Source organism: Homo sapiens, chromosome 19, assembly GCF_000001405.40.
Source record: "Homo sapiens chromosome 19, GRCh38.p14 Primary Assembly".
Taxonomy (NCBI): domain Eukaryota; kingdom Metazoa; phylum Chordata; class Mammalia; order Primates; family Hominidae; genus Homo; species Homo sapiens.
In genome coordinates this window covers 2,056,385-2,071,035 of record NC_000019.10, presented here as the reverse complement: position 1 = coordinate 2,071,035, position 14,651 = coordinate 2,056,385, and the positions used below count along the sequence as shown (strand labels likewise).

Genomic DNA, 14,651 nt, shown 5'->3' with positions numbered 1-14,651 from the left:
TAAATGGTGTCGTTTTCCTGCCAGTGTTAACAGGGTGCCCTGTCCTAGGGGTGAGCCTCAGGCTTTGGGGCTGAGAAAATCTTTTTTATTTTTCTTTCTTTTTTTTTTTTTTTAGACAGCTACTCAGCTTTTCTTTCTTTCTTTCTTTCTTTCTTTCTTTTTTTTTTTTTTTTAAATCCCAGCTACTTGGGAGGCTGAGGCAGGAGAATTGCCTGAACCCTGGCGGCAGAGGTTGCAGTGAGCCGAGATGGCACCACTGCACTCCAGCCTGTGTGACAGAGCAAGACGCTGTCTCAAAAAAAAAAAAAAAGAAAAGAAAAGAAAATGAAGCACAAAAGTTTTTACCCTGTGCCAAGGAACAGATCAGAGGGAAAAGACCGAAGGGGTGGAGTCCAGGCCAGCCCGTGACTCCCTAGCCCGCTGTGGCCTTGGACATGGACAAATTAGCGTACACTACAACTTTTTATTGACTTGTTTATTTCATTCTCTTTCTTCCTTTCTTTTTTTTTTTTTTTTTTTGAGACAGTCTCGCCGTCACCCAGGCTGTAGTGCAGTGGCCTGATCTCGGCTCACTGCAACCTCAGCCTCCCAAGGAATTGGGACTACAGGTGCCCGCCACCACGCCCAGCTAATTTTTTTTTTTTTTTAAGATGGAGTCTTACTCTTGCCCAGGCAGGAGGGCAGTGGTGCAATCTTGGCTCACTGCAACCTTGGCCTCCCAGGCTCAAGTGATTCTCCTGCCTCAGCCTACCAAAGTGCTGGGATTACAAGCGTGAGCCACCACACCCGGCCCTAATTTTTGTATTTTTGGTAGTGACAGGGTTTCACCATGTTGGCCAGGCTGGTCTCGAACTCCTGGCCTCAGGCGATCCCCCTGCCTCGGCCTCCCAAGTGTGGGATTGCAGGCATGAACCACTGTGCCCAGCTGCTTTTTGTTTTCTGTATGTGAAAAATGTGGGCATTGGGTGAGTGAGTCTCCGGGGTCCCTTCCAGCGTGAAACGTCGTGAGTCCGGAGCCTAACGGAAGACCAGCTTTGGCTCACGAATTTGGTATTTTGCACCTCAGCAGCATGGCAGAGAGGGGCAGCCCGGGCCCCACAGGGTGGACCCTTAGCCCTGTGCCCGTCAGCGCTGTGCTGCTGCACCTCGCCCCTAGAGGGCACCACGGCGCTGGGAAGGGACAGGCTCCTGTTAGGCAAAGAGCGGGGATCGGGAACCGCCTTCCAGAGAGGCTGCTGTTTCCTAGTTGTTTGTTTGTTTGTTTGTTCTGAGACGGAGTTTCACCCTTGTTGCCCAGGCTGGAGTGCAATGATGCGACCTCAGATCACTGCAGCCTCTCCCTCCCGGGTTCAAACGATTCTCCCGCCTCAGCCTCCCAAGTAGCTGGGATTACAGGTGTGCACCAGCATGACTGGATAATTTTTGTATTTTTAGTAGAGACGGGATTTCACCATGTTGTCCAGGCTGATATTGAACTCCTAACCTCATGATCTGCCTACCTCGGCCTCCCAAAATCAATGTGGTTTTAAATTTTACTTATTTGGAGATGGAGTCTCCCTCTGTCACCCAGGCTACAGTGCAGTGGCTCACTGCAACCTCCACCTCCCAGGTTCAAGCCAGCCTCCTGCCTCAGCCTCCCCAGTAGCTGGGACTACAGGTGCAAGCCACCATGCCTGGGTAATGTTTTATATATTAGCAGAGACAGGGTTTCACCATGTTGGCCAGGCTGGTCTCGAACTCCTGACCTCAAGTCTTGAACTCCTAACCTCAAGTGATCTACCTGCCTCAGCCTCTCAAAGTGCTGGGATTACAGCCGTGAGCCACCCTGCCAGGCCAGCCACACAGTCTGTTGTGTAAATAAAGTTTTATTGGCGCACAGCCATGCTCATACATTTACATATTATTTACATATTGTCTGTGGCTGTAGAGTTAACCAACAGAGACCATCTGCTCCACAGTGCCATTTTTTTTTTTAAAGGGAGTCTTGCTGTGTTGCCCAGGCTGGAGTGCAATGGCGTGATCTCAGCTCACTACAACCTCCGCCTCCTGGGCTCAAGCGATTCTCCTGCCTCAGCCTCCCGAGCAGCTGGTATTACAGGCGCCCGCCACCACCCCCAGCTAATTTTTGTATTTTTAGTAGAGATGGGGTTTCACCATGTTGGCCAAGCTGGTCTCTAACTCCTGACCTCGTGATCCACCCACCTTGGACTCCCAAAGTGTTGGGATTACAGGCGTGAGCCACCGCACCCGACAAAGCCAAAAATATTGACAGTCTGCCCCTTACAGTAAAAGTTTGGTGACCAAGCCAGGCATGATGGTGCACCTGTGATTCCAGCCACTCAGGAGGCTGAGGCAGGAAGATCACTTAAGCCCTGGAGGCGGAGGCTGCAGTAAGTTGAGATAGCACTACTGCACTCCAGCCTGGGCAACAGAGCAAGACCCTGTCTCAGAAAAAAAGAAAGCGGGGGAGGTGGGGAGAGAGAGCTGACATTGAAAGATTTTCAATAAATAGTGTTAGGAAAAAAAATAAACTGATCATATGTAAATATCCCTGCTCTTAATTGAGGTGAGTATCAAGTGAAAAAAGAAAAAGTTTGCGGACGCCTATAGAAATACACAGAAAGATGGCCTGGTGCGGTGGCTCACACCTGGAATCCCAGCACTTTGGGAGGCCGAGGTGGGCGGATCACGAGGTCAGGAGATCGAGACCATCCTGGCTAACACGGTGAAACCCCGTCTCTACTAAAAATACAAAAAATTAGCCGGGCGTGGTGGCGGGCGCCCGTAGTCCCAGCTACTCGGGACTACACTGCCACTGCACTCCAGCCTGGGTGACAGAGTGAAACTCCATCTCAAAAAAACAAACAAACAAAAATATACAGAAAGATCCTCCTGTTAAAATGTGAAGAACCCCTCATATCCAGTAAAAATCAACACAAAACATTTTCTTTTCAGATAATGTTTGCATAACTCCATGAATTTATAAATACCTCTGAACTATACACATTTTTTTTTTTTAAACGGAGTCTCACTCTGTCACCCAGGCTGAACTGCAGTGGTGCAGTCTCAGTTCACTGCAACAATCCACCTCCTGGGTTCAAGCGATTCTCCTGCCTCAGGTTCCTGAGTAGCTGGGATTATAGGCACCAGCCACCACACCTGGCTAATTTTTTTATTTTTAGTAGAGACGGGGTTTCACCATGTTAGCCATGCTGGTCTTGAACTCCTGACCTCAGGTGATCCACCCACCTTGGCCTCCCGAAATGCTGGGATTACAGGCATGAGCCACCGCACCGCCCTGAACTGTATACATTAGTGGGGGAATTTTATGAGATGTGAACTATGTCCCCATAAAATTGCTGTAACAAAGACATAGACTGGCAGAAGCAGAAGCTTAGGCAAAGTTTTTATGTATATATATAATTTTTTCTTCAGACAGGGTCTTGCTCTGTCGCCTAGGCTGGAGTGCAGTGGCACAAATCACAGCTCACTGCAGCCTCAACTTCCTGGGCTCAAGCAATCCTCCCGCCTCAGCCTCCTGAGTAGCTGGGCCTACAGGCATGTGCCTCCATGCCTAGCTGATTGTGTTTCTTTTTTGTAGAGATGAAGTCTCCCTACATTGCTCAGGCTGATCTTGGACTCCTGGCCTCAAGCGATCCTCCCTCTTTGGCCTCCCAAAGTGCTGGGATTGTAGATGTGAGCCATTGTTCCCAGCCAGCATAATTATATCAAATAAAGCAAACCAGGAGGAAAAAGCAATTGCAATCCTTTTTTTTTTTTTTTTTTTTTTTTGAGACAGAGTCTCGCTCTGTCGCCCAGGCTGGAGTGCAGTGGCGTCATCTCGGCTCACTGCAACCTCCGCCTCCCAGGTTCAAGCAATTCTCCTGCCTCAGCCTCCTGAGTAGCTGGGATTACAGGCACCTGCCACCACCCCCGGCTAATTTTTGTATTTTTAGTAGAGACAGGGTTTCACCATGTTGGTCAGGCTGGTCTCGAACACCTGGCCTTGTGATCCACCTGCCTCGGCCTCCCAAAGTGCTGGGATTACAGGTGTGAGCCACTGCGCCGGGCCTTTCTTTTTTTTTTTTCTTTTTTTTTTTTTTTGAGACAGAGTCTCACTCTTTCACCCAGGCTGGAGTGCAGTGAAACAATCTTGGCTCACTGCAACCTCTGCGTCCTGTGTTCAAGCGATTCTTCTGCCTCAGCCTCCCAAGTAGCTGGGACTACCAGCACCCGCCACCACATCCAGCTAATTTTTTTGTATTTTTAGTAGAGACGGGGTTTCACCATCTTGGCCAGGCTGGTTTTGAACTCCTGACCTTGTGATCTACCAGCCTCAACTCCCAAAGTGCTGGGATTACAGACATGAGCCTCCACACCTGGCCAGCAATTGCAGTCTTAATGATCAAGGTGAATCCAAATGTATATGGGACAGGCTGGGCACGGTGGCTCACGCCTGTAATCCCAGAATTTTGGGAGGCCGAGACGGGCGGATCACAAGGTCAGGAGATCAAGACCATCCTGGCTAACAGAGTGAAACCCCGTCTCTACTAAAAATACAAAAAAAAAAAAAAAATTAATCCGGCATGAGGCGGAGCTTGCAGTGAGCTGAGATAGTGCCACTGCACTCTAGCCTGGGTGACAGAGCGAGACTCTGTCTCAAAAAAAAAAAAAAAGTATATGGGACAAAGTACACTCATTGTGACCAGAGGGAAAATGTACAGGAAAGATACGTTAGTCAGAAAACTTCATGTGCTGAAATACATTATATAAAATACAAATTAACATTTAAAAATCATGGTAAATGATTTAATAAACATTTTATGTATGTACTTATTTATTTTTTATTTTTTTTATTGAGACGGAGCAGGCTGGAGTTCAATGGCACGATCTTGGCTCACTGCAACCTCTGCCTCCCGGGTTCAAGCACTTCTCTACCTCAGCCTCCCGAGTAGCTGGGACTACAGGCGCCCACCACCACGCCTAGCTAATTTTTGCATTTTTAGTAGAGACGGGGTTTCACTATCTTGGCCAGGCTGGTCTTGAACTCCTGACCTTGTGTTCTGCGTCCCTTGGCCTCCCAAGGTGCTGGGATTACAGGCGTGAACCACCACGCCCGGCCTACTTACTTTTTGAGACAGAGCCTCTCTCTGTCACCCAGGCTGGAGTGCAATGGCGCCATCTCAGCTCACTGCAACTTCTGCCTCCTGGGTTCAAGCGATTCTCCTGCCTCACCCTCCTGAGTAGCTGGGATTACAGGCGTAAGCCACCACCCAGCTAATTTCTGTATTTTTAGTAGAGACTGGGTTTCGCCATGTTGACCAGGCTGGTCTTGAACTCCTGACCTCAGGTGATCTGCCCACCTTGGCCTCCCAAAGTGCTGGGATTACAGGCGTGAGCCACCGCACCCGGCCTGGGCATCTTCATTGATTTGTAATTCACATTCCATACAATTCACTCATTTAAGGTGTACAATTCAGTCGCATGTAGTACATTCAGAAAAGTGTGCAACTACCACCTCCAATTCTACAGCATTCTATCACCTCGAGAAGAACAAACCTTGTCCCCATCAGCCGTCACTCCCCGACACCCACACATCCCCTCCCTGTCTCTGGATGGGCCTGTCCCGGACAGTTCATAGAAATGGGATCACACACTGCGTGGCCTTCTGAGTTTGGCATCTGTGACTGAGCATGATGTCCTCCAGGTTCACGCTGTGGCCTGGCTCCGGTTCGTCATGGGATAATGTTCCAGTGTGGATGGACCATCCGTCCCCTCCTGCCGGGTGTTCAGGCCGTGCTGTCCTCTCGGCCACCAGGCATCAGGTGCCCATGTGCGCACACGGCCCGTGTCCCGCGTGGGTGTCTTGTGTGGCTGCTGTTTATGCTCTGTCTCTGCTGACCTTCTGGTGCCACCGCCTGGTGGCCGCCCCGGAGGCGTGGCCCACGTTCCTCGATATTTCTGGAGCTGTCTGCCCTTCTTTCCAAGCCAGAGAAGCAGATGGGAAACAAAAGCAGCTGCCCGCCCTCCTTGTCCCCGCCACAGGCCTACGCATCACTGGATGGGATCCTGCTCCCGGGAAGGCCGGCAGGAGAACGGCTCCGTCTGTCTGGCCTGGAAAGCAGCTCCCGCGCTGCCCCACCCGCCGCCAGGCCACTGCGTCCTCGTGGCTCTGCTGCCGGCCTCAGGGATCCCCCTGAGTTCTGACTGCAGGCAGAGGATGGACCTGCCTTTTCGGGCAGGTGACCCATGGCGCTCTCCTACTTTGTGGGAAAGAGGGACATGGAGTCAGGTGTGACTCCCTGGACCCCTCAGGCCAGGCCCCCAGCACTGATTCACCAAATAACTGGAAACTGCTTCTTGTCAGACACAGGCTGTGGCCCTGGTCCTGACCTCAGCGTGTCATCAACAGAAGGCTGACTGAGGCCCCTTGGCAAGGTCCCTGGTAGGTCGCGTCGCCAGGAGGTGGATGCCAGCCCCGGCTCACCACAGCCGCCCCTCCTGTTTCTCTCCACCTGCAGCCAGTGTCCTGGCGTCCTGGAAGCAACCTCCCCTGCCTGCTCCTCCCGCTTGGCCGCGGGGCCACAGGGCGCTATGACTGTGCAGGAGGCCTCAGAAGGACGGGCAATTTTTAAGATTCTATTTTTATTATTTTATTTTATTTTTGAGACGGAGTCTCGCTCCATCACCCAGGCTGGAGTGCAGTGGCGCGATCTCGGCTCACTGCAACCACCGCCTCCTGGGTTCAGGTGATTCTCCTGCCTCAGCCTCCTGAGTAGTTGGGATTACAGGCGCGTGCCACCACACCCGGCTAATATTTATATTTTTAGTAGAGATGGGGTTTGGCCACGTTGGCCATGTTGTGCCCAGCCAATGTCATCTGTTTCTTTTTACTTTTTAAAATATGTGGGTCTTGAACATTTACACACGTGTTGGTCAACATCCAGGTGAGAAAAGACGGAACACACAAGCTGTCAGGGAAATGCAAATCAAAACCATCGCCAAGATGATGTCACTCAGAAACGACAATAGCGGCCGGCACAGTGGCTCAGGCCTGTGATCCCAGTACTTTGGGAGGCTGAGATGGGCAGATCAGCTGAGGTCAGGAGTTCAAGACCAGCCTGACCAACAAGGTTAAACTCCGTCACTACTAAAAAATACAAAAATTACATGGGGATGGAGGCACTCTCCTGTAATCCCAGCTACTCAGGAGGCCGAGGTGGGAGGATTGCGTTAGCCCAGGAAGTCGAGGGTGCAGTGAGCCGAGATCAGGCCACTGAACTTAAGCTTGGGTAACAGAGCAAGACCCTGTCTCAAAAAAAATAAAATAAAGCTGGGTGCTGTGGCTCACACCTGTAATCTCAGCATTTTGGGAAGCTGAGACCAGTGGATCACTTGAGATCAGGAGTTCAAGAGCAGCCTGGCCAACATGGTGAAACCCCGTCTCTACTAAAAATACAAAAATTAGGGAGGTCGAGATGAGCAGATCACCTGAGATCAGGAGTTCGAGACCAGCCTTTCACATGGTGAAACGCTGTCTCTACTAAAAATTCAAAAATTAGCTGGACGTGGTGGCGGGCACCTGTAATCCCAGTTACTCGGGAGGCTGAGGCAAGAGAATTGCTTGAACCCGGGAGGTGGAGGTTGCAGTGAGCCAAGATCGCACCATTGCACTACAGCCTGGGTGACAAGAGTGAAACTTCGTCTCAAAAAATAAATAGGCCAGGCGCGGTGACTCACGCCTGTAATCCCAGCTACTCGGGAGGCTGAGGGAGGAGAATGGCGTGAACCCGGGAGACGGAGCTTGCAGTGAGCCGAGATCGCGCCACTGCACTCCGGCCTGGGCGAAAGAGCGAGACTCCGTCTCAAAAAAATAAAAAATAAAAACAAATAAATACAAAAATTAGCTGGGTGTGGCGGTGCACACCTGTAATCCTAGCTACTCAGGAGGCTGAGACAGTTGAATCACTTGAACCCAGGAGGCAGAGGTTGCAGTGAGCTGAGATTGCACCTCTGCGCTCCAGCCCAGGCGACAGAGTGAGTCTCCGTCTCCAAAACAAATTAGCTGGGTGTCTCCGTGCAGCTACTGGGGAAGCTGAAGCACAAGACTGCCTGAACCCGGAGAGAGATTGCAGTGAGCTGAGATCGTGCCACTCCACTCCAGCCTGGGCCACAGAGTGAGGCTGCGTGTGTATTTCTATAATGAAGAAAACTATTGCGGAAAAAAAAGTCAAAGAGAAATGCAGACCTTTAAAAGGTCTCTCCTGAGAGAAGCAGGAATGAGGAACTCGTAGGGTCCTGGGCTGGCCGCAGACAGGAGACCCCAAGGTCCCAGCAGGAGGGCGGTACATGGTGAAGATGGGATCCTTGGGGGAAGCCTGAGACACTCTGTGGTCGGCTGAATCACAGCCCCCAAAGATGCCCATGTCATTCCCGCGATCTGTGAATGTACCACTTCCCATGGCCAAAGGGGCCACCCCCATTCTTCTAGGCTAGCCTCGGCAGGGGTGCCGGGCCTCCAGCCTATCCATGCCCTGAGGGCTGCCACTGGGACACTCCAGACTTGGGACGTAGAGGGTGCCAGATGGGTGGGTTGGTGGGGTCACCTCCCCTGCTGTCTACACCGTGGGTCCTTCAATCTCGTTTCCTGCCCCTCACTTGTGATTCATTGATCAGGGCTACAGTGGAGAGTGAGGCCTGCCTGGGGTGAGGGGTTGTGGCTGTGGCCGCTGGGGGTCAGATTCTGACCACCTGCCTCTGTGCTTTCACTCAGTTGCACAGCGCCCGGGACCTGGAGGACCTGGGGGACCAACCCTCCCACCCCCTCCAGTAGGGGTCCTTGGAAGGAATGTTTCCTGGCCACAGAGGAAGAGGTGTTGGTGCAGGGCCAAGGCCTGCGGTTCAGTCCTGGTCATCCAGGCCTGGTCACCTTCTGGGGTCCCCCAACCCCCCCCAGCTCCTCTGTGACCTGCAGAGAGACCGGTCGTTGCATAGGGTGCTAGTGCAAAACGTGGGCGCTGCATAAATGCAGGGGCGCCCGCCAGGGGAGGAGTAGCCGTGAATGCATCGCGCCCACAACTCCGCAACTCCAGCTCTGTGCACCTGCGGAAACTGAAGCTCGGGAGACCGAGACCGGACCCAGAGTCACACAAACGGGCAAAACAGGAGGACGTGGGGCTGGGCCCGGCCCGCTGACCTCCAACTCCGAGTCTGCGCCCTCCCTTACCTCTGCCCCCAGCCAGGCCCACTGACCCCCAACCCTGAGCCCTAGGCCTCCGCCCAGAACACAGCGGCGAGCGAAGTGTGGAGTAATGCGCACGGTCCCTTTAAGAGGCACAAGGCCCTGATCGCGCGGCCCCGACAACAACAATTCCATTGGCTGGAGCGTGATCTCTGGCCACGCCCCCACACTAAATATTTGGAGTCCTACTGGTCCAGAGCCCGGGCCCCGCCTCCCTCGCCCTCTGAGCCCGGGCGCCGCGCCAGGTTCGCTGACGCAAACGCGTTGCCCCGGCAACCTCTCCCCGTCCCCGGGGCAAAGGGGCCCCGGCACTGGAGCCAGTGCGCAGGCGCGCGGCCGCCGCCGGGGAGGGGGTTCCCAGGGCGCGCGGCCCGGACCCCCGAGTCCGTGCTCTCCGACCCTCCTGTCACCCCGGGACACCGTGTGGGGGGCGCCCAGAGCCCCGGCCGCCGGGAGGAGGAGGAGGCGGCGCCCGGGGACTGGCCTAGCGCGGGTGCGGTCGGCGGGCGGGGCGGGAGGGCCCGACCCGTGGCTCTGCGGATTTCAAAGGCGCGGGGTCACACGCCCAGCAGCCGATCAGCCCCGGCATTTGGCGACGCAGCAAATCCAGCCCTGCGGGGAGGGGGCCCTGTCCCTGGGCCGGCCCCATGCCCAGGCTGCAGGGCCTCGCCCGCCCCCAGCCGCATCTCCCTGCCCCTGGCGCCTCCCAGGACCTGTGACAGTCCGGGGGGCTTGACCGGGGCTGCCCTGGCTTCAGCCTTCTCATCTGCACAGTGGAAACTCAGGAAAACACCGCCTGTGTGAGCCTCCTGGAGCTGTGCAATGAATCACACACGTGCAGTGGCTTGAAACGACCCACATCGATTCTCTCACGGTTCTGGAGGTCAGAAACCCGACATGGGGGCCTCACTGGGCTAACATCAAGGTGTGCGCAGGGCTGGTCCCTCCTGGGGGCTCCAGGGGAGAATCCAGTTCCTGCCTTTCCCAGCGTTTAGAGGCGCCCACATCCTTCAGCTTGGGCCCCTTCCCACTCACAGCCAAGAGCAGCCTCTTCCGGTCTCTGACTCTCACCCGGCTGCCTCCTCTCATGAGGACCCTGTGAGGACACTGGGCTCCCCGATCATCCAGGGTGATCTCCCATCTCAAAATCCTAACCCAGTCCCACCTGCAGAGTGCCTTGCGCCTTGGAAGTTTCCCTGGCCATGCCCTTCCCAGGATGTGCACCCTGAAAAACACCCTGAAAAGGCCTTGTGGCCGGGCGCGGTGGCTCACGCCTGTAATCCCAGCACTTTGGGAGGCTGAGGTGGGCGGATTTTCTGAGGTGGAAGTTCAAGACCAGCCTGGCCAACATGGTGAAACCCCGTCTCTACTAAATAGTAAATACAAAAATTAGCCGGGGGTGGTGACATGCACCTGTAATCCCAGCTACTTGGGAAGTTGAGGCGGGACAATTGCTTGAACCTGGGAGGCGGAGGTTGCAGTGAGCAGAGATCCTGCCACTGCACTCCAGACTGGGCGAAAGAGCGAGACTCCATCTCAAAAAAACACAAAAAAACAACAAAAAAACTAAGGCCTTGTTGGGAGACAGATCAGCTGGGACCAGGGCACAGGGCACCAGGCTCCCAGTGGTTCTCTGAGAGTCATCTGGGTGTCTTCTGGGCTCCACCCCCTGGTAATAGGAGGAGGAGAGGACGCCAGGAGATCAGCGGAGTGCTTTGTTCACGGTCACTGGGGCAGGGCGGTGGCCTTTGGCCATCTCCTGGGCCAGCCCTGCCCCACACTTCCTTGGGGACTGTGCAGGGGCTGAACCCCAGGGAGGTGGGGCATGCACGCTGCTCCTGATGCCACTCCGTCAGAGCAGCGTGGATGGCCCCATGGCTGCCCCGGGCTCCTGGCCAGACACCCACAGCCCGGGCAGGTAGGCAGCCCCAGGCTCCAGGCCACACCTGCCCTGCCCACTCCCTGCCCCCACTGGAGGACCGCGGGCCCTGGCTGTGTCCCCAGGCAGGCCTGCCGAGCCACTGGAGTGGAGTGAGTGTGAGTCAGCCGGCAAGAAGGGACGCTTGCGGCCACTTACATCAGATATTCCTGCCTCGTGGCCCCATGGCCAGAGCTCTCAGCCCCGCAGGGGTCCTGAAATGACCCTGCCCACGGCCCTTCATAGCAAGGGATGGCCCTTGGGCCGTGGTTCTGGTCCCTGGAGAGCCAAGCAGGTGGGAACTGTGAGGTGGTCTCTCGTGCCACCCACTACACTTGCAAGTGTGTACAGGCGTGCACAGCCCACCCCCACCTTTCACTCCCACATGGGCCCATGGCTGACCCTGCAAGGACCTAGGCTTGGGGCCTCCCCCAGGGACGCCTGCCTCCGCGGGCACACAGACACACGCCCCGATCTGCTCACACTCGTACCCACACCAAGTTTTTTTTTTTTTATGTTGTAGGGGAAAGGTCTTTATTGTCACCGCCCCCCGCCCCCGTAGGGTTGTCTGATATAATACGGACACCAAGCTAACTTTGAATGGCAAATAAACAGTGAATAACTGGGCCTGGCGTGGTGATCCCAGCATTTTGGGAGGCTGAGGCGGGAGAATCATTTGAGGCCAGGAGTTCAAGACCAGCCTAGGCAACATGTTGAGACCCCCCCATCTCTACCGAAAATAAAATTAGCTGAGCGTTGCTGGGCGCGGTGGCTCACGCTTTGGGAGGTGGAGGTGGGTGGGTCACCTGAGCTCAGGAGTTCCAGACCAGCCTGGCCAACAGGGCAAAAGCCCGTCTCTACTAAAAATACAAAAATTAGCTTGTCGTGGTGGTGCGCGCCTGTAGTCCCAGGTCGTCAGGAGGCTGAAGCATGAGGATCTCCTGAACCTGGGAGGTGGAGGTTACCGTGAGCCGAGATCGAGCCACTGCACTCCAGCCTGGCAACAGAGCGAGACTCCGTCTCAAAACAAACAAACAAACAAACAAAAAGCCTCCAGACAATGGAGCCCCCCATAGGATCCCTTGTTGCACACATCCAGCCGGGCCCTGTGCTGGGTGGTCGGGGGTGGTCAGGGTGGGCTGTGTGGCCAGCCTCCCTGGCTTGAGGGAGATGGGTGGAGGGAGAAGCCCAGGGCTGGCAAGTCAGGACCTGCCTGGGCACCTCTTCTGGGGCTTTGGGGACACCCTACATGCCACACAGGCTGAAAATCGCCCTGCATTCTGCAGAACTAAAGAAAAAAAGCAAAAAGAATCACTCTACAGATTGAGGAAGCGCTCAAAGGCTGGCAGGAGGCAGACAGGTTGCCCCCAAGGAAGCGGGGGCTGTGCACCTTTGGGCAGAGGCCGGCCAAGCCTGCTCCGAGACCAGGGGCAGGACAGGTCGCCTCCAGGGAGCTGCAGGACCCGGGGCAGGCTGAGCCTTTGGGCCTCCACCGCTGGAGTCTCATGGTGGGGTGGGTGGTGCGGCCTCCACTGTCACAAGGCGTCTGTTGTCCCAGGAAGTAAGCAGGAGTCTGTCCCTGTCCTGGAGGGAAGGCCGTGCCACCCAGTGGCTGTGGGACCCTAGGAAGTAGCCGTGAGGGCGGGAGGTGGCGCAGGGGTCTGGGTCACCCCAGGGCCGGCCTGCAGGGAACTCGAGCTCATCCCTGAACCTTCTGTGTGCTCCAGGCCACTCTGCCAGGGCCCTGGGAGGTTGAGGGAGGTGGGACCAGTGGCGGGTCAGCCAGAGAAGAAGCTAGGTTTACTGGGGGTCTCCTATAGGAGAGGGGCATGGGGCCAGCATGGCCCAGACAGCTGGGATCTCCAGTGCGGGTCACTGGGTGCTCACTGGGTGTCCATGGGGGCTGTACGTCGGGGTCAAAGCCAGAAATTGGGCAGAGACAGCTCAGCCACAGGTGAGTCCTGGAGCACATCCCCCGACCCACCACACCCTCAGGTCAGTCACCCACCTGTGTGGCCAGTTCTGGCTCCATTCCATCAGCACCTCCCTGGGCCTGGCCTGCTCCAAGTGCACCCAAAGCAGGTTCTGGGCTGGGGTCAACTCTCACCTGTCCCAGATAATGAGGCTAGCTGGTGACTAGGTGAGGAGGGGCTGGGGTGCCCTGGGAGAAGCCACCAGGCCTAGCTTGGGTTGGGGGGGCCCACAGGGTCCAGGGCAGGTCCTGACCCCTCCTTAAAGGAGCCGCAGCACCTCCCAGCCAGGATCGGGTTCACCTTGGCCCCAGGGCCTTGGCTGGGCCCTGCCGTGACCTCCCGGAAGAGGAAGCCACGGCCAAACCCCAAGTTAGGCCTGGTGAGGGCTCCAGGGTGGGGGACCCGGGGGGTTAGGAGAGAGAAAGAAGCCACCTGCTAGGCTAGGCGCAGTGGCTCACGCCTGTAATCCCAGCACTCTGGGAGGCTGAGGCAGGCGGATCACCTGAGGTCGGGAGTTCAAGACCAGCCTGACCAACATGGAGAAACCCCGTCTCTAGTAAAAATACAAAAATTAGCCAGGTTGATGGTGTGTGCCTGTAATCCCAGCTACTTGGGAGGCTGAGGCAGGAGAATCGCTTGAGCCCGGGAGGCAGAGGTTATGGTGAGCCGAAATGGTGACATTGCACTCTAGCCTGGGCGACAAGAGCAAAACTCTGTCTCAAAAAATAAAAATAAAAAAAAAAGAAGCCACCTGCTGGAGATGCTGCCCCCCACCACCCACCCTGGCCAGGTCCCAGGTTATCTGGAAGCCATTCCAAGCCACCCCAGGGCCAGGCAAGACAGTGCGGTACAGGGTGGTGGCCATGCCAGGAACGCAGCAGGGGGAGCCCACTGGAGAGTGGGAGGGATGTCAGTGCGTTGGCGGAGTGGGGGTCTCTGTCCTTGTGTCTGGGGGCATTGGGCATTTTTCAGCTATGGATTTGGTAGTGGTGCAGCCGGGTGCTGGGTGCTGGGTGCTGGAGGTGGGGCAGGGGTTGAACTGCAGTGGGAGGGAAGGAGAGAGGAGGGGGAAGGGGAGGAGGGGAGGGGAGGAAGAAGAAGGGAGGAGGGCAGGAAGGGAGGGGAGGAAGAAGGGGGGAGGAGGAGGGGGGAGGAGGAGAGGGGAGGGAGGGGAGGGGAGGAGAGGAGGGGAGGAGAGGAGAGAAGGGGTGGAAGGGAGGAGAGGAGGAAGGATGAGGAGGGGAGGAGGGAGAGAAGGACCGAGAGGGGAGGAAAGGAGGGGAGGAGGAAGGAGAGAAGGGGACGAGGGAAGGAGGGAGGAAGGGGAGGAGAGGAGCCAGAGATCGGCTCCAGCTGATGCTGATTCCTGTCCGCAGCCACACCTCATTTCCTGTTTGTCCTCCTTCTGGGGCTAGCGTCTCCCAGGCCCTCCTCTTCACTCTGGTGCTCCCCCAGGGCAACCCTGAGCTCCCTCCCAGGCTGGCTGACCAGCACTGGGGTCATGGACCTGCGGTCCTGG

General features: G+C 55.9%; 12 annotated features.

The window, feature by feature from the left end:
* Positions 8,184–9,082: an enhancer, noted in NCBI's record as "H3K27ac-H3K4me1 hESC enhancer chr19:2061953-2062851 (GRCh37/hg19 assembly coordinates)". NCBI's record gives its function as "activates a minimal SCP1, AML or CMV promoter by ChIP-STARR-seq in naive H9 embryonic stem cells {active_cell/tissue: H9 hESC(naive)}" and the evidence as "EXISTENCE:reporter gene assay evidence [ECO:0000049][PMID:30033119]".
* Positions 8,860–8,949: an enhancer, noted in NCBI's record as "active region_13642". NCBI's record gives its function as "activates an Ori minimal core promoter by ATAC-STARR-seq in GM12878 lymphoblastoid cells {active_cell/tissue: GM12878}" and the evidence as "EXISTENCE:reporter gene assay evidence [ECO:0000049][PMID:35858748]".
* Positions 9,083–9,983: an enhancer, noted in NCBI's record as "NANOG-H3K27ac-H3K4me1 hESC enhancer chr19:2061052-2061952 (GRCh37/hg19 assembly coordinates)". NCBI's record gives its function as "activates a minimal SCP1, AML or CMV promoter by ChIP-STARR-seq in naive H9 embryonic stem cells {active_cell/tissue: H9 hESC(naive)}" and the evidence as "EXISTENCE:reporter gene assay evidence [ECO:0000049][PMID:30033119]".
* Positions 9,083–10,085: a biological region, named in NCBI's record as "CRISPRi-validated cis-regulatory element chr19.489". NCBI's record gives its function as "regulatory_interactions: MKNK2".
* Positions 9,086–10,085: a transcriptional cis regulatory region, noted in NCBI's record as "candidate enhancer chr19.489 targeted for multiplex CRISPR interference". NCBI's record gives its function as "positively regulates MKNK2 gene expression in K562 cells {active_cell/tissue: K562}" and the evidence as "EXISTENCE:mutant phenotype evidence [ECO:0000015][PMID:30612741]".
* Positions 9,190–9,249: a silencer, noted in NCBI's record as "silent region_9765". NCBI's record gives its function as "represses an Ori minimal core promoter by ATAC-STARR-seq in GM12878 lymphoblastoid cells {active_cell/tissue: GM12878}" and the evidence as "EXISTENCE:reporter gene assay evidence [ECO:0000049][PMID:35858748]".
* Positions 9,350–9,429: a silencer, noted in NCBI's record as "silent region_9764". NCBI's record gives its function as "represses an Ori minimal core promoter by ATAC-STARR-seq in GM12878 lymphoblastoid cells {active_cell/tissue: GM12878}" and the evidence as "EXISTENCE:reporter gene assay evidence [ECO:0000049][PMID:35858748]".
* Positions 9,530–9,969: a silencer, noted in NCBI's record as "silent region_9763". NCBI's record gives its function as "represses an Ori minimal core promoter by ATAC-STARR-seq in GM12878 lymphoblastoid cells {active_cell/tissue: GM12878}" and the evidence as "EXISTENCE:reporter gene assay evidence [ECO:0000049][PMID:35858748]".
* Positions 10,772–11,612: a transcriptional cis regulatory region, noted in NCBI's record as "candidate enhancer chr19.488 targeted for multiplex CRISPR interference". NCBI's record gives its function as "positively regulates expression of the MKNK2 gene with high confidence and the DAZAP1, MBD3 and SLC39A3 genes with lower confidence in K562 cells {active_cell/tissue: K562}" and the evidence as "EXISTENCE:mutant phenotype evidence [ECO:0000015][PMID:30612741]".
* Positions 10,772–11,784: a biological region, named in NCBI's record as "CRISPRi-validated cis-regulatory element chr19.488". NCBI's record gives its function as "regulatory_interactions: DAZAP1 | MBD3 | MKNK2 | SLC39A3".
* Positions 10,884–11,784: an enhancer, noted in NCBI's record as "H3K27ac-H3K4me1 hESC enhancer chr19:2059251-2060151 (GRCh37/hg19 assembly coordinates)". NCBI's record gives its function as "activates a minimal SCP1, AML or CMV promoter by ChIP-STARR-seq in naive H9 embryonic stem cells {active_cell/tissue: H9 hESC(naive)}" and the evidence as "EXISTENCE:reporter gene assay evidence [ECO:0000049][PMID:30033119]".
* Positions 11,785–12,684: an enhancer, noted in NCBI's record as "H3K27ac-H3K4me1 hESC enhancer chr19:2058351-2059250 (GRCh37/hg19 assembly coordinates)". NCBI's record gives its function as "activates a minimal SCP1, AML or CMV promoter by ChIP-STARR-seq in naive H9 embryonic stem cells {active_cell/tissue: H9 hESC(naive)}" and the evidence as "EXISTENCE:reporter gene assay evidence [ECO:0000049][PMID:30033119]".